This window comes from Homo sapiens, chromosome 13 (genome assembly GCF_000001405.40).
Source record: "Homo sapiens chromosome 13, GRCh38.p14 Primary Assembly".
In the NCBI taxonomy this organism is placed as follows: Eukaryota; Metazoa; Chordata; class Mammalia; order Primates; family Hominidae; genus Homo; species Homo sapiens.
The window spans coordinates 28,693,475-28,719,166 of record NC_000013.11 but is presented as its reverse complement, the minus strand read 5'-3'; the positions used below and the strand labels follow the sequence as shown (position 1 = coordinate 28,719,166).

Below are 25,692 nucleotides of genomic sequence, written 5' to 3'. Positions count from 1 at the left end.
TGCTGAGTGGCTGCTCGGTCGCGCGGGATCCACTCCGGGCCTCCGAGGGTGGGTGCACGATCCACTAGCCACTCTCCAGGGGAGAGTGACGTCCGGGTGGACCAATCGCCGCTGGGGCACCGACCGCTGGGCCCAATCGCAGGAGAGCCGGGTAGAACAGTGACAGCGCCGCGGCAGCCGACCCCGCCTCCTCGGCGGACAGCGATGCTCAGCTGGCTGCGGCCGAGTCATCGCCTAGCGCTGGCAGGGCCGCTGACCGACCGACGGAGGCGCCGATTGGCCGATTGTCCACTGCGCAGAAGGAGCAGCTGCTCCGCGCCCCGCCGCGCCGCGCTGAGGCCGAGGTCCGCAGGGCCGCGGGGAAGCCGAGGGCTGCCGGAGAACCCTGCAGGTGTCACTCGGGACGCGGAAGTGCGCTTGCCGAGGTTTGCTTTACAATACGCTTGAGACTCCCCGACAAGCGTAATTTGGTCGAGTTCGACGGGAAAGTACTCTCCCCACCCCAGCGCCGGCCGCGTAGTCCGAGGTTACTGTCCCCGGCGCGTCCTCTGTTGCCCCAGTCCAGAGGCTGCCCTTGAACCCGGGCGCGCACGAGCGCAGGGCATCCGAGGCGACAGCCCCTGGCACGGCCCGACCTGTACCCAGCCTGGCAGGAAGACTGTAATCGTGGGGTGAGTTAAAAATAAGGCCCTTTCGATTGGGAGCTGCTTTTTAAAACGCCCCCTCCCTGTCCGTTTTTAATACGCAGCAAAATAACAATAACAATTGTGCAACTGTCGCTTCCCAAAAGGAACCTCATTGTTGAACTTACGAAAAATCAGTTGGCAATATACAGTGTGGGAACTGTACTGTGATCATTGGCTAACCAAGATGGGTGACAGTTTATGATTTCAAAGACTCAAAGGCGGCTTGAGTCCTACAATGTCCTACTCATAAAAATGGAAAGCATGGCAGCCTCAGGTTGTTACAGAGTACTCTACTCCAAAGTAAAAGTTATTCTCTGAGAAAGTGCTTACTGCCTTTTCTGTTCTCTAGTTTGCTTGTTTAAACATTTACTCCACAAAATTGCTCAAACTTACCCATCTTTGAATATCTAGCCTCTGGGATGAGACAGATGATCTTTCTCCGTTTTCACTTTTTATAGAATACAGCTACCTACCCAGGCAATATGAAGATTTTATTTGTAGAACCTGCCATTTTCCTTAGTGCATTTGCTATGACTTTGACCGGTCCACTGACAACGCAATATGTTTATCGGAGAATATGGGAAGAAACTGGCAACTACACTTTTTCATCTGATAGCAATATTTCTGAGTGTGAAAAAAACAAAAGCAGCCCAATTTTTGCATTCCAGGAGGTAAGAAATTACAATATCCATAGTATTTAATAAAATGGGAATGTATACCGGGCTTTGAGTTAAAGAGGACCGTGAACTCATCATCCATTGGTCTCTCTAGGGCGGCCATCAAAGTCCTAAATCCCAAACCTAATGGCCTTTACTGGGAACTCACCTCATTTGAAGTTTCCTGACACCTTTCAAATCTGCCTCTTCTTCTTAAAACACCCTCCTGCTCTGTGACACTAGCTCTTCTCCTTTCTCTCGGAAAATTTCACCACAGTGTCATCTCTTCTGTGGCTGTCTCCTTGCTTTGTCCTAAAAAAAAAAAAAAAAAAAAAAAAAGTCTGAAAATTGGGGCAGGGCAGGCTGGAATGAGCTACTTGGTGGACAGGGGTGGCTGAAACATGGTGTTTCTGTCTCTCACTTGCTCTATTCTTCCCCAATCCTTTTACTGTTTCTGCATGTCCCAGCTTTCAGGGACTCTAGAAAGTGGCCCATCACTGAAGATTGTGAGCCAGTGTCTGTCACAGGGTGGGGTGGAGGAGCATTTATTATTTGGTGGTGGTATCAAATCAGCCTTGGCTCTCACGTGTTGAGGAGCAGCTGTGTGGGGACATCTGGAGTGGGGAGTACCCACCGTTGACACCAAAGATGTTTAGCCAGATATTAAGGAGGCTTTCTTCCTCCCTCTCCAGCAATCTCCCCAGTTTTTTTGTGTGTAAAACAGGAGGCAGGCACTTCACCATTCTCCTGGTCCCTTGGGCAGTTTTTGACAAAAGTCTACCATTTCAAAATGCAAAGAGATAGTATCCAGGTTTGGAAATTTTTTTTTTTTTCCTACAATGCCTCAAAAACAAATCACACCTGTAAACTCTAAACTCTTCTTCTGGGGGATATTTTGTGATTGTAAAGGAGTGGTGCTGCCTTCCCAGTGAAAGATGAAATGAATTAAAAGGAATTGAGTCACCTCCTGCTGGCTCTGTGAGTCTCTGTGACTGGGAGAAGAGCCTGAGAAGGAGGAAATGGCAAACCGCCCCAGAGGCAAGGTTCTAGCACTTCCCGAGGTGTCAGGTGGAACCTTGCTGGGGTGAGGTTAGGCAATTTGGCACAATCCCTAATCTTACTCATTTCCTCATTCCCATGGGAAACGTTTTCTTGGGAGTGATTATTTCTGAGCAGCCTGGAAGACATCAAGGTTCTGGCGTAGAGTAAGGTCATAAAAAAAAAGGGCCCTGAGTCTCACCCAGCGGTCTTATCTCCCTTCAAGAATGTCTCCTAGGTCATTCCCGGGAGTGAGAAGCTTCGATCGGCTCACAGTTTCTTTTTGTAAGTGTTTATTCATGCATTAAACAAATGTTTATCACACATTATCCTGTGGTGACAAGGATAAGCAAAACGGCTCTGAACCCGAGAAGCCCAGAGTCTCTCTAGGTTGAGAAAAACACACATAAACAGAATAGAGTTTAACAAATCCTCTTAGTTTCAAAGTTGGGGTCCTACAGCAGGGATGCTCTTCAGATTTCGGCTCTGGAGACGTTTGTTAATATACATACTTGAATCCCATCCTGGAACCTCTAACACAGTGTTTTTTAACCTTGACTGGACATGGGAATCACCTGAAGTGTTTTTTATTTTATTTTGTTTATTATGTATTTATGCATGTATGGTACTTTTTGAGACAGGGTCTCATTCTGCTGCCCACGCTGGAGTGGAGTGGCGTGGTAATAGCTCGCTGCAACTTTGAACTCCTAGGCTCAAGGGATCCTCTCACCTCAGCCTCCTGAGTAGCTGGGACTACAGGCACGTGCCACTACACTCAGCTAATTTTTGATTTTTTTTTTTTTTTTTTGTAGAGACAGGGTCTTCCTCTGTTTCCCAGGCTGGCCTTGAACTCGTGGCCTCAAGTGAGCCTCCTGTCTGGTCCTCTCAAAGTGTTGGGATTACAGGCGTGAGCCACCGTGCCCGGTCTTATTTTATTTTTTTAATTGACAGATAATCATTGTACATATTCATGGAGTATACAGTGGTGTTTTGATACATACAATGTATAGTGATCAGATCAGGCTAATTAGCATATCCATCAACTCAGACATCTCTCATTTCTTTGTGTTGGGAACATTCAATACCCTCCTTCTTGCTATTTGAAACTATATAACATATTACTGTTAACTGTAGTCACCCTGTGGTGCTACAGAACACCAGAACTTATTCCTCCTGTCTAGCTGTAATTTTGTATCCTTTAACAAATTTCTTCTTACAGGCTCATCAATTTCTGTATTTGATTCTGTGCTTTCTTTTGGCTGACCTGTAGGAGCAGGCCCCCTGGTTGCAGTGGGAGGGACCAGGGAGGAGAGGACAAGAATGTCTGGGAAAGTCTGCTGCTCTTGCCCTCTTGGACTGAGGGAAGACGGGCCTTGGTCCAGCCAGCTTGGTGGCTTCTGCAACCATACAGGGGGCAAGTGTTGGCCCACCTCCAGCCTGGCCCAGCTGCTGAGAGCCCCCTACTGCCCACAGCAGTGGTCTCATGTCAAAGATTTTTGCCGAATTTTCAAATTGACTTTTTCATTTATTGTTTCTTAATTGGATTAATATTCAAGAGAACCTACTACTCTAGATCCCTTCCCTTAAAGTTGGTGCTCTTAGACCTCTGGGAACCAGAAACCACCCCTACCCTCACCTGCCACCCACGCTGGAGTGGTGGCCTACTCTCTGTTTGCTCCTTAGGACAAAGGAACATTTTTGTTTCCCAGGAGGCACCACCATCGCCTTCAGTGATTCATTCAATGACTAAAAACGGTTTACATCTGTTTTTTAAATCAGCTTAGCATTTCCCAGTATACAAATGGCACACACTTTTTATATTGACTTTGGAAAATACAGAGCAATGGCAAGCAAAAAATGTTTTAAGATCATGCAAAATTTCTTCCATCAAGTAACTAGTGTAATGATTGACACATCTTCCAATCTGTGTGTGTATGTCATCTGTCATTGTCATTTTGGTCCTTGGAAGTTGAGTTTATCTTACTCCTCAGGTCATGACATACTACCACCTTTATTTACTTTTTATTTTTATTTATTTGAGATGGAGTCTCACTGTGTCACCCAGGCTGGAGTGCAATGGCACAATCTCAGCTCATTGCAACCTCTGCCTCCCAGGTTCAAGCAATTCTTCTGCCTCAGCCTCCCAAGTAGCGGAGACTACAGGCGTACGCCACCACGCCTGGCTAATTTTTGTATTTTTAGTAGAGACAGGGTTTTGCCATGTTGGCCAGGCTGGTCTCAAACTCCTGACCTCAAGTGATCCGCCCACCTTGGCCCCCCAAAGTGCTAGGATTACAGGCGTGAGCCACCGTGCCTGGCCTAGTTTTTTTAAATTTATTTTTAGAGACAGGGTCTCGCTATGTTGCCCAGGCTGGTCTCAAATTCCTGGGCACAAGTGATGCTCCCACCTCGGCCTCCCACAGTGCTGGGATTATAAGCGTAAGCCACCACACTCAGCCACGGTATGCTACCATCTGTAGACAGTGTAAGTCTCCTCTTTCAATTTTATCTTATTTTAAATTCTTTTATTTAGTAAATAAAGGAAGATGTTTCTCACTAATCTATCTGTGAAGACATAGGTAAAAAAAAAAAATAAGGGCAACAGCCAAGCTCTCCCTAAATAAAGGTTTTTTTTTTTTTTTTTTGTATTTTTTGGTAGAGACAGAGTTTTACCATGTTGGCCAAGCTGGTCTCAAACTCCTGACCTCAAGTGATCCTCCTGCCTCAGCCTCCCAAAATATGAGGATTACAGGCATGAGCCACCACGCCCGACCAAAATCTGAAACTTTTTGATCACCACACTTTACCACAAGTGTAAAATTCCACACACAAGTACTCAATGGCAACTGTTTTATGCACAAATTTGTTTAAAATATTGTATAAAATTACCTTCAGGCTGTATGTATGAGGTATATATGAAACATAAATGAATTTTGTGTTTAAATGTGAGTCCCATCCACAAGGTATCTCATTATATACATGCAAATATCCCAAAGTCTGAAAAAATCCAAAATCGGAAATACTTCTGGTCTCAAGCATTTCAGATAAGGGATACTCAGTCTGCATTGCTTTATAAACTGGATGAAAATGTAAGCTCTATTAGTCCCGCCCATCCACCAGAGATTCCCCACCCATAACCTACTGGCCACAGGGAAAAAAGCATATGCACCATGATATTTTTATACACGTTGTGTTAACTACTGTAAACACATTGTCTTCTTTATATTTCTTTGCAGGAAGTTCAGAAAAAAGTGTCACGTTTTAATCTGCAGATGGACATAAGTGGATTAATTCCTGGTCTAGTGTCTACATTCATACTTTTGTCTATTAGTGATCACTACGGACGAAAATTCCCTATGATTTTGTCTTCCGTTGGTGCTCTTGCAACCAGCGTTTGGCTCTGTTTGCTTTGCTATTTTGCCTTTCCATTCCAGCTTTTGATTGCATCTACCTTCATTGGTGCATTTTGTGGCAATTATACCACATTTTGGGGAGCTTGCTTTGCCTATATAGTTGATCAGTGTAAAGAACACAAACAAAAAACAATTCGAATAGCTATCATTGACTTTCTACTTGGACTTGTTACTGGACTAACAGGACTGTCATCTGGCTATTTTATTAGAGAGCTAGGTTTTGAGTGGTCGTTTCTAATTATTGCTGTGTCTCTTGCTGTTAATTTGATCTATATTTTATTTTTTCTCGGAGATCCAGTGAAAGAGTGTTCATCTCAGAATGTTACTATGTCATGTAGTGAAGGCTTCAAAAACCTATTTTACCGAACTTACATGCTTTTTAAGAATGCTTCTGGTAAGAGACGATTTTTGCTCTGTTTGTTACTTTTTACAGTAATCACTTATTTTTTTGTGGTAATTGGCATTGCCCCAATTTTTATCCTTTATGAATTGGATTCACCACTCTGCTGGAATGAAGTTTTTATAGGTTATGGATCAGCTTTGGGTAGTGCCTCTTTTTTGACTAGTTTCCTAGGAATATGGCTTTTTTCTTATTGTATGGAAGATATTCATATGGCCTTCATTGGGATTTTTACCACGATGACAGGAATGGCTATGACCGCGTTTGCCAGTACAACACTGATGATGTTTTTAGGTGAGTTCCAAGTGTAGCTTTAGAACTAACTATGTATTTGATATTCATATAAAATGAATTTAGTCTACTGGGGGAGAAACTTTAATCTAAAGCCCTCTATTTAAGCCATTCTAGTTCAATTAAAGGGTAATAACTAGTTTGCCAGGAGTCAATAAGCCAAAAGCCGAATTCACTTTAAAAATTTAATCCACTGAATAACCACAATTTCCCAAATGTGTATATTTGCCTCAAAATTGTTTTGAGGAACATTCTTCTTATGAATCAGTTCTTCAATATAGCTTTCATTAAAGTGAAGATTTCTTAAAATGCTGCTAATAAGACTACTTCCCATAAAAATATTTAGGACAATGATATAAAGTATACTAAAAATACTTATAAGAAAAAAACTATATCAATTTAATATATTCAAGAAGAAATTTTTTAAAGACAGGTTTTGCAAATTGATCTTTCAGCAAATTGGCCATTTCATAAATTGATTTTTGATGAATTGCTGGTTGGCAAATTAGACTGCTTCCTTAACTACCTACCTTATAACTGTTTTTGCAGGATTCAAATGAGATACTGCATTGAAAAAGGCTGTGGAACTATAAAATGAGACTCTGGGAAAGGTCCAATTTACTCTTTTCTCTAATAAAAGTGTTAACCCCTTACTATCTTGCAGGGAAGCAGTGTGACCAAATAGAATTGGGCCTAACTTCCATCTATAGTACTAGATGATCTTGGGCAAGTTACTGAACTACTCTCAGCCCTCATTTTCTCATCTGTAAAATGGGCGTGGTACTACCTAATTTAGAGGATTACAGTGAACATTAGGTAGCTGTCAAGCACTCGCTTGGCACAATCCCTACTATTCAATAATAGCCAGTTTTTCTCCCTGTCTCCCTAAGAGCTGCCAAGGTCAGGTAAGTTAATCTATGTGAAAACACTTTGAGAATTGTAAAGTGGTCTGCTAATGTCATATTTTACTATTTTATGATGTAATTAAAACTACTGACTATTAAGGGTCATAACTGAAGACCAGAGGTAATTTGTGTTTATGAAGTTATTCTGCCACAAAGATGAACAGGCAAGATGATAAAGAACCAGTTTACCAATAAATAAATCAATATAATAAAGGCATGCTAACACTAAGAGTGCCAAGTCTGAAAAAAGCACAAACAAAAATGAATTAGCAGTCTCAATTTGCTAAATAAGAGGTTAATATATAATTAGGAAAATAAGCAGATCAGTTTTTTTTTTTGTTTTTTTTTTTTCTTTGAGATGGAGTCTCACTCTGTCGCCAGGCTGGAGTGCAGTGGCATGATCTGGGCTCACTGCAACCTCCACCTCCCGGGTTCAAGTGATTCTCCTGCCTCAGCCTCCCAAGTAGCTGGGATTGCAGGCATGCGCCACCACGCCTGGCTAATTTTGTATTTTTAGTAAAGACAGGATTTCTCCATGTTGGTCAGGCTGGTCTCGAACTCCCGAACTCAGGTGATCTGCCCTCCTCGGCCTCCCAAAGTGCTGGGATTACAGGTGTGAGCCACTGCGCCCGGCCAGCAGATCAGTCTTAATCGGCAGATTATATAAATAGATCTAGACCTAAAAATTACATGAACTCTTGTTCTCTGTACTGGAATAAGAATTCTAGAGTAAAGTAACCTTAAACTGACCTGTCCATAGTCTACTTTAATTCATCAAACAGAGTTCTACAATTAATTAATTCAATTTTTAGATACAATGAGTTAGGATGCTTGTAGAAAAGGAAGTATTTAGACAGAGTGAAAGTGTTTCCTATTTTAAATTGGCCATTAGCTTTCAGAATCAGCCAGTGATTTTGAATCCTTTCTCTCACAGCCAGGGTGCCGTTCCTTTTCACTATTGTGCCATTCTCTGTTCTACGGTCCATGTTGTCAAAAGTGGTTCGTTCGACTGAACAAGGTGAGTTTAATTTGCTTAAGAAATATGAATCTACCATCTTTACAAACTCAAATCTGTGTACAATCAATGTTTAATGCTTCAGAATATTCTACAGCCCTTTTTATGCACGGATCTCCTTTTGAATAAAGTGGTAAGCTCTGTGAGGGAAAGGCTTACACTCTTGCAAGGGAGCCCCTGCCTAGGGCCTTGTACTTTAGAGAGCTCCCTCGGCTCTGGGCCGTGCCCCGCCCTAAGAAGAAAGGAGCTCTCAGGGCCAAGTGGGAGATGCCCACTGGGAGCTCACCACATCTCCTTCCTTCTAGACTGAACTCTGCCCACCTGGGTCCCTGCAATTCCCAGCCCAGTTCTGGGCTTATGTCCAGTAAGGGCCTGGATGATCCTCTTCCTCAGCCACCTTCTCCTGAGGGTGGACTGTGCCCAGTGTGCTCACCTGTAGACCAAGGAAGGAGCCAAGGGGCGACTCCTTCTAAAGGGTGTGGCTGGACTTTGGAATCACAGGGTGGGGCTGTTCCACACCCTGTAATGACCCTTTCTGAGCAGGGTGGTGCAAGGGGTAGAGCAGAATGGGGGTGGGCTCCAGCTGGGCACCAAGGGCTGAGGGCCAGTTCACCCTGGGCTACCCTGTTCCTACGTGGAATTCTGAAAACGTCTGAGAATCCTAAGTGTGTGCGGGTCTCCTAGATCATTCATTACAAAGGGATATTTTTCACAGTAGGAAGGCATAATATATTTTAGTTAACAGTTTGTTGGCCAGATTTCAAATAACTGACCACTTTTAAATCCTAAGAATATAATATATAGGCCTCTGATAATGTTCTTACACTGGCCCCTACAACTGTCACAGCTGGGCCTGACTCAGAGTCCTGGCAGAAAACGGGGCCCCACTCAGCTGGTTCAATCAAGAAACTTTCATGAAGGCCATTATAGAGAGTGGGCATTGTCGAGGCAGCCAGAGAGATGCCCCAGATAGGAAGCAGAGAAGAAACACCATAACCTTTCTCCCCCATCATCCTTTTAACCAAGTGCAGCAGGAACTCGGGCCAGCAAGAAAGTCCAAGTCATATAATTTGTGGGGTCAGCCTCCAAAGCACAGAGCAGGGTACACAAAGTCAAACAGTTGAAGGGGCAGGCAGAGAATAACCAGGATGCAGCAAAGACAAAAATTAAATTTCCATTGAGAACTAGTTACTAGTTAGATATCAGGCATATGGGCTTGTCCTCCTTCCCTTTTGTATCATATGAATCTTATTAGACATTGGCACTTTCTTTAATGTCATATGTTAGCCCGGTGCTGTGAATGTACTTATTTGATTTATGAATAATTCATAATTATGCTGTTGTATTTTTACCAGTTTAGTCAATACTGGAGAAGGCTACATAATTCAATAAATTAAAAATATATTTCTTCTTTTACTTTCTCTCTTTTTTTTTTTTTTTGAGACGGAGTTTCACTCTTGCTGCCCAGGCTGGAGTGCAATGGTGTGATCTCGGCTCACTGCAACCTCTGCCTCCTGGGTTCAAGCAATTCTCCTGCCTCAGCCTCCCAAGTAGCTGGAATTACAGGCTCCTGCCACCATGCCTGGCTAATTTTTGTGTTTTTAGCAGAGACAGGGTTTCACCATGTTGGCCAGGCTGGTCTCAAACTCCTGACCTCAGGTAATCAGCCCGCCTCAGCCTCCCAAAGTGCTGGGATTATAGGCGTGACCCACCGCACCCGGCCTCTTATTTTTCACTCATAAGATGTAGCTATATATTCACACATCTGTTTATAGATGATGTGATGATGATTGCTTTGAAAACCAATAACAAATGGAAAAATTTATATAAACTATGTAAAAATCTATCTGCTTCTTTGGACTATGCAATAGTTTCTTAGATATGACACCAAAAGCACAAGAACAAAGGAAAAATTGATAGATTAGACTTCATCCAAAAACTTCATTCAAAGTTTGTCCTTTGAAAAATTTTTATGTTTCAAAGGACAACATCAAGAAAGTGAGGCCAGGCGCAGTGGCTCACATGTGCAATCCCAGCACTTTGGGAGGCCAAAGCGGGTGGATGACCCGAGGTTAGGAGTTTGAGACCAGCCTGACCAACATGGTGAAACCCCGTCTCTACTAAAAATACAAAAAAAAAAAAAAAAAAGAAAAGAAAAAGAAAGAAAGTGAAATGACAACCGACAACCCACAGAATGGGAGAAGATATTTGCAAATTATATTTGTCTGAGCAGGAACTCGTATCCAGCATATTTAAGAACTCTTAAAATTCAACAACAAAAAGACAACTCAATTTAAAAATGGGCAAAGGATTTGAATAGAAGATATACAAGTGACCAATATGCGCATGAAAATGCTGGATATCATTAGCCATCAGGGAAATGCAAAGCAAAACCACAGAGTGGGCTGGGGTGGCCAAAATAAAATAGGCCATAGCAAGTGTTGATGAGGATGTGGAGAAATTGGAGCCCTCATACACTGCGAGTGGGAACATAAAATGGTGCAGCAGCTGTACAAAGCAGTTTGGCAGTTCCTCAGAAAGTTAGTTGCCTTATGACTCAGCAATCCCTCCCCTACTTACATACCATGAGAAGTGAAAGCATATGTCCACATAAAATCTTGTTCATGGCAGCATTATTCATAATAGCCAAAAAGTGAAACCTATGCAAATGTTCATGAACTGACAAATGGGTAAACAAAATGTGGTTTATCCATCCAGCAAACTGCTCTTCTGCAATAAAAAGAAATATCGTTCTGTTACATGCCATAACATGGATGAACTATGAAATGATTATGCCAAATTTAAGAAGCTAGTCACAAAAGGCCACATATTGTCATTTAAATATGATTCTGTTTACGTGAAATGTGCAGAATAGGCAAATCCATAGAGACAGAAATTTGATTAGGGCTTGACTGGGGCTGGGGAAGGGGAATGACTACTTATGGGTATACAGTTTCTTTTCGGGGTGATGAAAATGTTCCACAGATAGTGGTGATGGTTGCACAAATCTGCAACATACTAAGAACCACTGAATTGCAGACTTTAAAAGGGTGAGGTTTGTGGGATGTTAATTATATCCCAATAAAGCTATTGGGAAAAAAAATTTACCTGCTTTGACTTAGAGCTAAAATAGAGCTGTCAAGAGGTATAGTTTATTTTTGTTTATATTTGGTTTAGTTTATAAAGGCTTTTTAAAATTTTTTTTATTATACTTTAAGTTTTAGGGTACATGTGCACAACGTGCAGGTTTGTTACATATGTATACATGTGCCATGTTGGTGTGCCGCACCCATTAACTCGTCATTTAGCATTAGGTATATCTCCTAATGCTATCCCTCCCCCCTCCTCCCTCCCCCCACTCCACGACAGGCCCCGGTGTGTGATGTTCCCCTTCCTGTGTCCAAGTGTTCTCATTGTTCAATTCCCACCTGTGAGTGAGAACATGTGGTGTTTGGTTTTTTGCTCTTGCGATGGTTTGCTGAGAATGATGGTTTCCAGCTTCATCCATGTCCCTACGAAGGACATGAACTCATCCTTTTGTATGGCTGCATAGTATTCCATGGTGTATATGTGCCACATTTTCTCAATCCAGTCTATCATTGATGGACATTTGGGTTGGTTCCAAGTCTTTGCTATTGTGAACAGTGCCACAATAAACATACGTGTGCATGTGCCTTTATAGCAGCATGTTTTATAATCCTTTGGGTATATACCCAGTAATGGGATTGCTGGGTCAAATGGTATTTCTAGTTCTAGATCCTTGAGGAATCACCACACTGTCTTCCACAATGGTTGAACTAGTTTACAGTCCCACCAACAGTGTAAAAGTGTTCCTATTTCTCCACATCCTCTCTAGCACCTGTTGTTTCCTAACTTTTTAATGATCGCCATTCTAACTGGTGTGAGATGGTATCTCATTGTGGTTTTGATTTGCATTTCTCTGATGGCCAGTGATGATGAGCATTTTTTCATGTGTCTGTTGGCTGCATAAATGTCTTCTTTTGAGAAGTGTCTGTTCATATCCTTATAAAGGCTTTTAAAAAGTCATCTCCGCCAGGTGCAGTGGCTCACATCTGTAATCCCAGCACTTTGGGAGGCCGAGGTGGGAGGATCACTTGAGACCAGGAGTTCAAAAGCAGTGTGGGCAACAGAGGGAGGCTCTATCTCTACGAAAAATAAACATAAAAATAAAAAAGTCATATCATACTGTTAAATATAGTAATATTTTAAAATGTTTACATTTTGGCATTTCTTATTTTGAATTACGGTAACTGTGAATTGTGACTTCATTATTCTAGGATACTTACTTTGTTCTTAACTGCAAACTAAACAATCTTTTGGATGATGTCAACATTTCTATAACTAAATGTATTCGCATCCTTCATTATTATTTAAATTGGCCATTTTGTGAAAATATTAGGCACTTTAAATAATCAGAGGAGTGGGGAAATACTGCCGAAGTTTTCAGTTGGCTCTCATTATTTCTATTATCTTAAATAAGAAAGGTAAGAAAGTGGAATTCTGGTAATTATTTTGCAATCTCTGCGCTCTGCACCACTGTGAACTCATAGCTGAAGCTGCCTTGGACTATTTTACCTGGGCATCACCCATATACTCCTTGTTATTATAAATTGGGAGACAGTAAAACAGACTTGATTTTTGAGGTCTATTGCATTAAAAAAAAACAGAATTTAGAAGATGAACTCAGTTGTACTTATCCTTTAATCCTGTTTTATCTCTGGCAACTATTAAACAAGTCGAACTGCTCAGAGAAGTTGGGCAATAAGCTAAAGCTACTTCATAATAGTATGGTTCCATCAGAACAGATGGTGCAGTGTCTGACCTATTTCCCATCAAGAATAGATTAAAACTCTTACATAATAGAACTAGTACTGTGCAGTCTGTTTTCCATAGCACTATTCCTGGCTGCAGAAAGAGATCAGAAATAAAAGAAAATAATGTAGTTAGACAAGTAGAAGAACATCCTTCCAATTAAACTGACTTAATGTATTATCATAAATCATGGAGGCAGTAAGTCTGCATGCTACTTGATGACTGGTAAATGGGATCCTGAATTAAGCTTTGATTCATTCATTTGACAAATATTTATTAAATGTCTGCCATGCACCCGGACAGCTGAGCCCTAGGGATACAGCTGTGAGCAAGGCAGATGTACAAGGCAGATCGACAAAGCTTTCATTTTAGTCAAAAGAAGACACATAAGTGAGCACACGATATTTTGCAGAGATAGACGTATGTTTTATGAATGTTTGTCCTATCATTCAATGAATAATTTGAAGCAATATATGAGAATATGTACAATAAAATGAAAAAGTTTAAATAGATAAAAATCAATACACAGTCTAAAAGATGAAGACCATGGGGAAAATTAGAATATACACATAAGCCATATCTAACTTTGAAAGATAACCCTCAAGCTTGGCCATTTCCTTCCTATCAGTCCAAGCAAACACAATTATTTACATGATTTGTATTGTCAGTAAGAAAAATGCATTGCAGTTTTTCATGGAAAAGTAAACTTGGCAAAGTAGGGAACAAGCATAGTGACTTGTTGACAAAATCTGCAGAAAGCAGAAGCTACATATATAGGAACTGAGACCAAGAAAGCCAGGTCAATCTGACTGAAAATGGTCATGAAATTTTATATCTGATGATGAGCAATTTGACAAAGAGGAAGAAAAGCACATGAAGATGGCCAGCCTGTCTTTTGGAAGTTTAACTCTTCAGTTGACATGGTCTTGGATTCCAGACAAAACTAAACATAGGTAGAATACTGTCTGTTTCTCTCTGATTGTGAGCTTGCACTGACCATGCAGACTTCATGAACAATGCTGAGTGGCCTACCCTTGACCAACTTTGGTGTATAGCAAGTGTGACCATAGCAGAATCCCCACTCTTCATCTTGTAAGGCACCTTAGGGCAGAGGCAGTTGCAAGCAATAAGGTGGAAACATATGTTTTAAAGAATCACTTAACATTAAACTGTGGCATAAACCTTCACTAGAGCACAAGATGGTTAATTTGATGAGTCAAACATGCAGAATCTAGTAGTGATGGGATTTTTTGGTGACTTTGAAGAGGGATAAAATTCCAGTTGCAGAATGTATAAGAATCTCCTCTCTTTGTCTGCAGCTGTCACTTGCCAGACTGAGGAACAGATAAGAAGGTTTTCTTTACCTTTCAAAAGGCTCTTGCAGGAAGCATTGCTTGTTAGGAGCCATCCTGTGCTTTCAGGTGTCACAGATTAGCATGGGGTTGGAGGGTGGGAGACAGCATCCTGAAGAGCAGGGGTAGGTGTGGCTTTGCCTGGGGCTGTGGCAGAGAGGAGAGACATGCAGTTATCAAAAGAGTCAGCTGCACTGTCTTTTTAGCTTTGCCCTGTGGACACTGGAACTCAGCTATTTGGAGTTTCCAACATCTCTCACATCAAGTCCAAGGAGAACCTTTCCCTTAGTTTCCTCAGCTGCAGAATGGGCTGCTGACTTCTCAGGGACTTTGAGGGAATAACTTTCATTTCATTCACCCAGCAGTGCCCTCATGTTTACTGTTTTCAATGAGTAACAGTTGTCTCCATTAGTTTGTGTTTGTTGTTTTGTAATTCTGCCTTTTTTTTTTCCTCTCTCTCTATCCCTACTCCAAACAGGTACCCTGTTTGCTTGTATTGCTTTCTTAGAAACACTTGGAGGAGTCACTGCAGTTTCTACTTTTAATGGAATTTACTCAGCCACTGTTGCTTGGTACCCTGGCTTCACTTTCCTGCTGTCTGCTGGTCTGTTACTACTTCCAGCCATCAGTCTATGGTATGTCATTATTTTTAATCATTTTATCAGAGGGTATATGGATTAAGTGAATTCCCTAACCTCACCAGTAAATTACATAGGTCTGTTGAAATTTTGCCTCAGAACGTGCTTTTCTCAAGAACTTTTAGACATGAAGTGCTCGCTTCAGCAGCATATATACAAAATTGGAATGACACAGTGAAGATTGGCATGCTCCCTGTGCAAGGATGACAGGAAAATTCATGAAGTGTTTCATATTTTAATAAAATAAATTTTTTTAATTAAAAAAAAGAGAACCGGTCATGGTGGTGTATGTCTGAAGTCTCAGCTAGTCAGGAGACTGAGACGGGAAGATGATTTTGAGCCCAGGTGTTTGAGACCAGCCTGGACAACATAGCAAGACCCCCATCTCATTAAAATAAATAAAAATACGTGAAAGCATCTGTCAATAATTTGGGGAGACTTAGGAAGAAAAAGAGAGTGACATGGGTGAAGAACTAAAAGAAGGATTGTGTTCATTATAACTCCCCACCTTTAAACCATTGATTAAATTAGCATCTAAAATTAGAGATGTATACCTTTAAACTATGATTTCCCAGAGTACAATATCCCCTGATGGTCAAAGATTGCTGTAATGAGATTGACTTTCACATGGATTCTTGTATAAATGACAAAAGCAGATAGGATGTGCTGACTATTGAGTTCTCTTTCCAGAGTTGGCTTGTTTAATGACTTTGTCTTGTTTTAATGACTTGTTTAAACGTTAATGTTTAAATGTTTTTAAATTTAAATATTCAAATTAAAGAAGCACAAAATTCCATTTATGAATAGTACATATAATGGATAGATCAGAAGCATAAATATAAAAGCAATATTTATGCCTTCTTTTTGCTTTCTATTTAACAAAAAATGTGAGCCAACTAGATGAATGATTGCTGAAACGTCCAAGCAAATTTATTTGACACATTAATGAAGAGCTCATTAATCTGTTTCTGCTGAGCTCTGTGCATTTCATGTGGCTGATAGCATAGCACAGTGACGGGAATCAAGGCAATGGGGCCACAAGAAGCCAGGCCTTCTCTGCTTTCTCCTAAGCACTTTGGGGTAAGGCTCTGAGTTAGGGAGGAAAGTGCCTATAAGCACAGGTGTTAAGCATCCTGCCAAGATGGCAAACTCCCTAAAGGGCTGGCTCATGTCTTATAGTAGGAGCTCAGTACTTATTGTTTCTATTGAATTCTGATACCTAGATCTGTGTCAGAGAACAACAGTATTTGCAGTTCCTCTAATTTTGATGAAAAGTTATTTATACTAGTTATCTTTTTTAAAAAGAGACTATTCACCTATCGAATTAACAAAATTACCAATACATGCTGTGCTGGTAAGCACATGAGACAACTGATCTTACACATTGTTGATAATAGTACTATTCAGCTGTATCATAAAGCAATTCATGAATATATCAAAAGCTCTTTTTTCAAAGTTCATAGTGATTGATCCAGCAATTCCTTTTAGAAACATACTCTAAACAAATAATGAGTAATTTTGTCAAAAATTGATATATAAAAACGTTAATTACAGCAAAAAAATTTTAAGTGACCAAACTGTCCAACAGTGGGAGAATGTTTAAGTAAATGATGGTACAGCCATTTCATGAAAAATGACTTAACTAACAAGAATTGTAGCAGGCACCGTGGCTCACACCTATAATCCCAGCACTTTGGGAGGTTGAGGCAGGAGGACTGCTTGAGGCCAGGAGTTCAAGACCAATCTGGGCAACATAGTGGGACCCCCATCTTTACCAAAAAAAAACAGATTTTTTTAAACAGTAGGAAAATAACACTTAAAGAAAAGAATTGCATACATGGTGAGTAGAATAATAGGTAATTCTAATTTTAGTCTTCACATGTTTATAAATTCTGTTATAACAGATAGATAAAAGGCAGTTGTCCTTTTAATAATAAGGTAAAGTAGATGGGCTTCTGAGCTTTTTTTTTAACCTTACACTGCTCAATATTTTAAAAATCAAAATTACATACTGTCTTACCTCCAAATGTCCAAGCTTCTGAGCTTCAGCTATAGCTATTGAACAGGAACTTCAGTAATAGCTTTAGTTATAACTAGTTTATGTGGACTACACAGAGTTAACCATGGGACAGATGGGATACCTTAGGGGTCTAGAAGAGAAAAAAAATCATGCAGTTTTAAAATTATTTTAAGAACACCATGCATGAGTCAGCTGGATTCAAAATGCCAGGATACTCCTCCTAATAATCTGCATAATTTATTAAAAGCTATGTAACTGGGAAAAAAAGTTGGAAAACAGATTACTTATTTATGTATTGTCTTAATCTCAACTTTAAAATGTCTTGTTTCCTTTTATAGTGTTGTCAAGTGTACCAGCTGGAATGAGGGAAGCTATGAACTTCTTATACAAGAAGAATCCAGTGAAGATGCTTCAGACAGGTGACTGTGATTTAAACAAACAAAAAAAATCTATGAATGCACATATCATATACCATGACTTCTGAAGACTATAAATGAATTCCACAATCAGTGCTTCACTGAGAACCAATTTTACCTATCTTTTCTTCTAAACTGAACAGTCAGAGAGACAGCTCCTGGCTTTAGCTTCTTGTGGTACCACGCACTTTGAGCACTTTGTGCGTATCATGCAATATACTTGCAATACACAGAACAAATTTCAAATACGCCTCACTTTTAGACTTAGAAGAGAAACATTAAAACTTAAGGGTGTAAGGAGGGATCAAGAAACTTGATAAGGTCAAAAGCAATAATCTCTCTGACATATTCCAGGCTCTTACACTGAGACCAAAGAGAAATCTTTACCTCAGTTTCTTCATCAGCAGAATGGGTTTCTGGCCTCTCTCAGGGATAATTTTGAAGGCATAATGAAAATTATGATGAATCACTCATTGGTAGGAAAATAATGATATAAGTTTCAAATATGTATGATTTTACCTATACTTGGTAATGCTTTATTTTATAGAGCCTGTTAAGCTGCTATTGATAGTCGGAGCTTATATACTGTGACTTCTGAAGACTATACATGAATTCCACAATCAGTGCTTTGTTGATACAAAATCCTTAAAAGGGAGGCACTTTAAAGAATATGTATTTTTCACTTTTCTTAATATGTTTCATCGGTGACAGGCATGATAATATTTCTATATGTAATGGGTAATTGGGAAAAAATAGATGATAAATAAAATTGCTCTAAAGAAGTTAAAAAACTGAATGAACAGCTAATACTGGTATAAAGTAACTAATGTTTGGAGCCAACATTTGTTCCTTGTGTCAGCAAAAGGATATTCACATTCCATGATCCCTGGCTGAGAATTCTGCCTCTAGTCTTTCTTACCCAGCTGTTGTCTATCCTTGTTCAATTATAAATACTGCTAAGGGCATTTTTAAAATACGATCTTGTACTCCTTAAATTTGAATCCGTCAACACGGTCACTCATAGGAAAATGATCAAACAAGCAAGCCAGTCATGATTTGACTCCTTCCCATCTCATTTCTTACTGCCTTACGCTCATCCTGAGGTCCACCTTGGTCTCTAAAAACACCATGTGTTCTCATGCCTCCATGTCTTTTCACACACTGTTCCATTTGCTCTTCCTCCCACATTACATTGAAACTTTCAAGCCTCAGTCGAAACATTGCTTCTTCTGGATAGCAGCCTTCTTGACATCCCTCCTCACTCCCCAGTCCCTACAGGGCTTCCATAGCTCTTTGTGTGCACTTCGATCCCAGCATTTTCCATCGACTTGTAATTGTTTCTGCTACCTGACAATCATCGCCTTGAGTACTGGGACAACCTTTGATTACTCATTATATCCTCAATAAATATTTGTTGAACTAAACTAAATGACTACAAAATTTTATTTTTACTTGTAAAAATCATTTAGAGCTATATATTTAATGCCTTATGAGAGTAACCACTGTTATCATGCCAATCATTAAGCCAGCCTTGCAAACAAATTGAAAAATATGCCAGTTTATACACTTTTAAAACTGATTTACAGTATTTTCATAGGTCCTTTAATACCTCCCATTTTCGAAGTTACCATAAATAATAACACAAATGCCCTAACGTGCAACTAAATGAGTAACTTCATTGTAATCTCTTGAAAGTAGATACAATCTTCTGTTTTATAGTATTGCTTAGGGCTTTAAGAAAATCAATGATTGCTTGACTAGTGAATAGCACTCATAATTTAATATACTAGAAATCCTTATTTCCAAGATCATTCCTTTTAGGTTTAGCTAGTATCTTCTGGGCTTGGAGCCCGTGTAATAACTAATTCTCAGATTGACTGATACATTTTTGTTTTCCTTCCTGTCCAAGGTTCTTCCCAAACCAAAACAAAAAGCATCTTACAGTTTATAAAGTAGATATTCATTCTCCTCATTTTACAGAAGAGGAAGATAAGTCTCACAGAGATTTGGCTGGACCGTGGTTATTCAGTGCCTATCAGTATGACACATGAATGGACTTCACCCTACTGAATGAAGTCCAGCTACTTCATAGCTAGGGTTTGCAGTAATAGATTATAAACCCCAAAGCAAGAATTGTACAGGGGTAGCATGATGTACTCATCAAAAACAAATTAACAAAAAACTGTACCCAACTAACTGCCTATAATTATTATCTTTTTTGAGCTTAGACAAGATGGTCTATAAACTCTCTTCCAGCTCAACATTCCATGATTTTACACATCTCATCTGAACTGAAGAGGTACTGTGTAATACAGTTGAAGGGTTAACAGATGATTACTTGAGCAAAAACTCTATTTGAGATGTAGCAAGTATATCAGGAGATTAGATTGAGGTGGCCAAGGGCAAAAATGTAGCACAAATGAACTTAGCCATCTCCAAAGTGTCTAGCCTAAGAGACAATTAGTAAATGTGGTGCTGAAGAGACTAGAGAACCATGCAAGCTGATGGGATGGGGAACTATAGACTCAAAACAGAAATGAAAAAAAAAAAAATCTAATTTCCCATCATGTAACCCGATTATCTGAAGAAAGAATGTTAATGGAAGGACTGGTCTTTATGGAGCCCAGATAAAGAGAAACCAGAGAGGAAAAAACATGTTCCATGTTATCCAGCAGTGTACAAAGGGGGTTAGATTACCATATCTACTAGAAATGAAGATTCTCATCATTACAGAGGACTAGTCAATGGGATTGTCCACAGCCTGCATTGCACGGCCTCATACATCTAAATCCCTTTTCTCCACTTCCATACTCACTAGATAATTGTGTCCAGAGTTGGTTCCTTCTGGTGGGTTGGTGGTCTCACTGCCTTCAAGAATGAGGCCACGGACCTTCACTGTGTTACAGCTCTTAAAGATGGCATGGACCCAAGGAGTGAGCAGCAGCAAGATTTATTGTGAAGAGCGAAAGAATAAAGCTCCCACAGCGTGGAGAGTGACCTGAGGGGGTTGTGGCTGCTGGCTTGGGGGTGGCCAGCTTTTATTCCCTTATTTGTCCCTGCCCATGTCCTGCTGATTGGTCCATTTTACAGAGTGCTGATTGGTCCATTTTACAAACCTCTAGCTAGCTGCAGAGCACAGATGGTGCGTTTTCACAGAGCACCGATTGGTGCATTTTACAATACTCTTGTAAGACCGAAAAGTTCTCCAAGTCCCCACCCGACCCAGAAAGTCCAGCTGGCTTCACCTCTCATAATCTTCTAATTACTCATTCAATGCCCAAGAATCTTGACAATAGAATAGCATGGCCTGGGTTCAGTATTCTTTTAAAGAAATCCCTGCATATGAGAACCATCTGAAGAATTTAAAAATAAAAATAAAATAATTAATTAGTAAAAATAAAAATCCTTGGCCTCATGTACTAGAGATTCTGCTTCAGTAGCTCTGCAGTGAGGTCTTGGAATGTATTTCTAAAACCTCCCCAGGTGACTGATACACATCCAGACCTGGAAACTACTGCCCTAGATGACTGATTTTCAACCCTAAATGCACATTAGAATAATCAGCTTTGGGGTGGGAAGTAAAATGAATACATAACACCAACTCTTATTCTCATCCAGTAGTTCTCAACCTGCCAAGTCAAATCACTTGGGGAGCTTTTGAAACTTCCAATGGCCTAGCCTCAGCTCAAACACATTAAATTAGAATTTCTAGGTATGAGAGCCAGACAGTATTTTTTTTCAAACATTCTCCAGGTGATTCCAATATGTGGCTAGAGTTGAGAATCACTACTCTAGGTCAGGGGTTAGAAACCATTTTCTGTAAAGGGCCTGAGAGTAAACAGTTTAGGCTTTCTGGATTATACAGTCTGTCACATTACTTAACTTTGCCATTGTAGCACAAAGTAACCAAAGACCATACATAAATAAATGGACACAGCTGTGTGTGATCAAGATGGGACCTGGCGCAAATGGTTTCATTGCTAAACATTTAAGGAATAAACATATTAGTACTACCTACAGCTTTTCTAGAAAATAGAAGCAAGGAACACTTCCCAACTCATTTTATGAGGTCAGCATTACCTTCATGTGAAACCAAAGAAGTTACAAGAAGAGTAAATGATGAATTTATATCCCTCATGAACGTAAATAAAAAATTCACAACAAAATATTAACAAATCAAGCAATATATTAAAAAGATTATATATACTGACCAAATGAGGTTTGTCCTGTGAATGCAAGGCTGACTCAACATTTAAAAATTACTTAATCACTATATCAACAGAATAAAGGGAAAAAAACCCACACGATCATATCAATGGATGCAGAAAAGACATTTATCAAAGTTCAACATCCGTTTATGATAAAAATTCTCAAGAAACTAGGGATCAAACTGATAAAGGGCATCTATTTTATTTTTTTAAAAGCTTACTGCTAATGATACTTTATGGTAAAAGGCCTGGCTGCTTTCCCTCTAAGATTGGGAATAAGGCAAGTGTATCCAGTTTCACAACTCCTATTCAACACCATACTGGGAGCCCTAGATATAAGGCAAGAGAAGGCGATAAAAGGGATATAGATTGGGAAGGAAAAAGTAAAACTGTTTATCTGCAAATAATATGACATAGAAAATTCTAAAGAACCTTCATTAAGATAAAGAAACTACTAGAACTAATAAATGAATTTAGCAAGGTTGTGAAATATAAAGTCGATATGTATGAATCATTGTATTTCTGTATACTAGCAACAAACAACTGAAAAAATTAAGGTTAAACCAAACCATTTAATAAAAGCATCAAAAAACAAAAAATACCTAGGAATAAATTTAACAAAATATGTGCAAGACCTGTATGCTGAAAACTATAAAACACTGCTGAAATTAAAGAAGACCTAAATAAATGGAAAGAAATATGAGTTCATGGATTAGAAGACTCAACATTAAGATATGAAAGTTAATACAAAACTTCTAGAAGAAAATAACAAGAAAATCTTCATAATTTTGGGTTAGGCAAAGATTTTAGACAGGACCCCAAAGATGTAAAACACATACACATAGCTTAATTGGATTTCATCTAAATTAAAATGTTCTGCTTTGAAATACACAGTTAAGAAAATAAAAAGGAGTGGGTGCAGTGGCTCACACCTGTAATCCCAGCATCCTGGGAGGCTAATGCAGACAGATCGTTTGAGCCCAGGAGTTCAAGACCAGCCTGGGCAACATGATGAAACCCCATCTCTACAAAAAATACAAAAATTAGCAGAGCATGGTGGTGTGCACCTGTAGTCCTAGCTACATGAGAGGCTGAAGTGAGAGGATCACTTGAACCCAGGAGGTCAAGGCTGCAGTGAGCCGTGAATGTGCCAGCCTGGGCAACAGAATGAGAACCTGTCTCAAAAACAAACAAACAAAAAAAAGGTAAGAAAAGAAAAAAGAGAAAAAAGCAAGCCAAGACTCCAGAAGATATTTGCAATACATATACCTGACAAATGCTTAATAATCAGAATATGTTAAAAACTTTTACAACTCAATGAGACAAATTTAAAAAGAGTGTGGGGAAGTGGACAAAGTATTTGAAAGGACAAGTCACACAAAAAATACAGTAATGTTCAACACCATCAGTCATCAAGGAAACGCAAATTAAAACCATAATGAGATACTACTACATATTCACTACAGCGGCTAAAGTTTAAAAAGTGTGACAATACCAAGAGCTGATGACACCGTTAAGCAAGTGGAAATTCGCGCATACACTTACATATGATGCAGTAGCTCTCTCCTATGTCATTTGCCCCAAGACAAATGAAAACACATGTCCATACAAAGGCTTGTCTATAAATGTTTATAGATGCTTCATCTATAATAGCCCCAAACTGGAAATGACCCAAATAACCTTCAATAGATGAATAAACAAAATATAAATATCCATACAGTGAATACTACTGAGCAATAAAAAAAAACAAATTACTCACATATTCAACAACATGAAGAGTTTTAAAAACATTACACAAAGCAAAAGAAACCAAATACAAAACAATTACATACTGTATGATTCTATGTACATGAAATTCTTGAAAAAAAAAAAAACCCACAAACTAATCTACAGTGTGAGAAATGAGATGAGGGGTTGCCTGGGGCTTGGGGCAGGAGACACAGGGATTAAAAAGTGACAGGAGAGAACGTTCTGGGATGATGGACATATTTTTTATTTTGATTATGTTGGTTATACAGTTATATACATTTGTCAAAATATATGAATATACTGTGTTATGTAAATTATACCTCAATAAAGTTCAAAAGATTATATTGACCCTTTTGGGAAAGACAGGTAGCAAATGAAGAGGGGATTTACGTAGGCAAAGCACTCCAACATTCTTGTCCCTCAAAGTTATTTGATTTCTTTCTTCTATACTAGTGACTTTCAAAATATGGTCCTTAGTTTAGTAGCATTACCATAACCTACAAACTTGTTAGAAATGCAAATTCTCAGGCTTCAACTCAACCTTTCTGAATCACAAACTCTAGGAGTGGGGTTCAGCAATCTGTGTTTTTAAAAGCCCTCCTATGATTCTGGTGCACACAAAAGCTTGAGAACTGATGCTCTACTCTATGTCAAGGACTTCTGGCATCTCCATTTCACTTAGTGTGTGCCTGTGGTGAATCCAATTTTACAAAGTATTAAGCCACATCCAGCTCCTTGAAATATTTGAGTCTAGAATTATCTTACATAAGGACATTATACAATATTCTAAAAGCACATTCAAAATCTATTCCTTCATTAAGTGGTGTTGAGTCAAAAAAAAAAAGTCTATTCCATCACACACCTGAATTTCTTTTTTTTAATTTCTGTATCCAGCAAAACTAAGCTTCATAAATGAAGGAGAAATAGTCTTTTCCTGACAAGCAAATGCTGAGGGAATTTGCCACTACCAAATCAGCACTACAAGGAATGCTAAAGGAGTTCTAAATCTTGAAACAAAACTTGGTATGTACCAAAATGGAACCTGCTGAAAGCATCACAGGGTCTATAAAGCAGTAACACAGTGAAAAAAACAAAGTATCTATGTAACAACTAATATGATAAATAGAATAGTACCTCACATCCCAATATTAACATTGAATGTAAATGGCCTAAATGCTCCACTTAAAAGATACACAGTGGGATTTCCAGCCAGATGGCTGAATAGGAACAGCTCCAGTCTGCAGCTCCCAGTGGGATCAACAGAGAAGATAGGTGATTTCTGCATTTCCAAGTGAGATACCTGGTTCATCTCACTGGGACTGGTTGGACAGTGGGAACAGCCCACGGAGGGTGAGCCAAAGCAGGGTGGGGTGTCGCCTTACCTGGGAAGTGCAAGGGGTCGGGGGATTTCCTTTTCCTAGCCAAGGTAAGCTGTGAGAGACTGTACGGGGAGGAACAGTGCACTCCTGCCCAGATACTGTACTTTTCCCACATTCTTTGCAAACGGCAGACCAGGAGATTCCTTCCAGTGCCTGGCTGTGTGGGTCCCACACCCACAGAGCCCAGCAAGCTAAGATCCATTGGCTTGAAATTCTCGCTGCTAGCACAGAAGTCTGAGATCGACCTGAGACGCTGGAGCTTGGCTGGGGGGTGGGGTGTCCACCATTGCTGAGGCTTGAGCAAGCAGTATTATGCTCACAGTGTAAACAAAGCCGCCAGGAATTTCGAACTGGGAGGAGCCCACCGCAGCTCAGCAAGGCCAACTGCCTCTCTAGATTCCACCTCTGTGGGCAGGGCATCTCTGAACAAAAGACAGCAGCCCCAGTCAGGGACCTATAGATAAAACCCCCATCTCCCTGGGACAGAGCACCTGGGGGAAGGGGCAGCTGTGGGCACAGCTTCAGCAGACTTAAACATCCCTGCCTGACAGCTCTGAAGAGAGCAGTGGTTCTCCCAGCACAGTGTTTGAGCTCTGATAACAGACAGACTGCCACCTCAAGTGGGTCCATGACCCCCGTGTAGCCTGACTGGGAGACACCTCCCAGTAAGGTCCAACAGACACCTCATAGAGG

At 40.0% G+C, this 25,692-nt stretch overlaps 1 protein-coding gene, 1 long non-coding RNA gene and 1 pseudogene across 5 annotated transcripts, besides 1 other annotated feature; 2 read left to right on the top strand and 1 right to left on the bottom strand.

Annotated features, from left to right (window-relative positions):
* On the top strand, positions 197-19,087 carry SLC46A3 (solute carrier family 46 member 3). 4 transcript variants are annotated; one of them, XM_005266361.3, is made up of 7 exons: positions 197-425; positions 1,145-1,357; positions 5,617-6,487; positions 8,324-8,407; positions 15,068-15,224; positions 17,586-17,666; positions 18,211-19,087. In XM_005266361.3, exons 2-7 carry the CDS (start codon positions 1,169-1,171, stop codon positions 18,218-18,220), a joined length of 1,392 nt encoding a protein of 463 aa, XP_005266418.1. In that variant the 5' UTR covers positions 197-425; positions 1,145-1,168; the 3' UTR covers positions 18,221-19,087. The 4 variants fall into 4 exon arrangements, with proteins under 4 accessions (XP_005266418.1, NP_001129391.1, NP_001334889.1 ...); NM_001135919.2 differs by having other exon boundaries at positions 197-671; NM_001347960.2 differs by having other exon boundaries at positions 17,586-19,087.
* LOC124903143 (uncharacterized) lies at positions 11,535-25,411 on the bottom strand. The gene is made up of 3 exons (XR_007063738.1): positions 25,003-25,411; positions 14,602-14,736; positions 11,535-12,570 (listed from the first exon to the last, which is right to left on the bottom strand). It is a non-coding gene; the product is annotated as an uncharacterized LOC124903143 (long non-coding RNA).
* RNU6-53P (RNA, U6 small nuclear 53, pseudogene) lies at positions 15,360-15,465 on the top strand (annotated as a pseudogene).
* Positions 25,160-25,692: an enhancer, noted in NCBI's record as "H3K27ac-H3K4me1 hESC enhancer chr13:29267612-29268144 (GRCh37/hg19 assembly coordinates)". NCBI's record gives its function as "activates a minimal SCP1, AML or CMV promoter by ChIP-STARR-seq in naive H9 embryonic stem cells {active_cell/tissue: H9 hESC(naive)}" and the evidence as "EXISTENCE:reporter gene assay evidence [ECO:0000049][PMID:30033119]".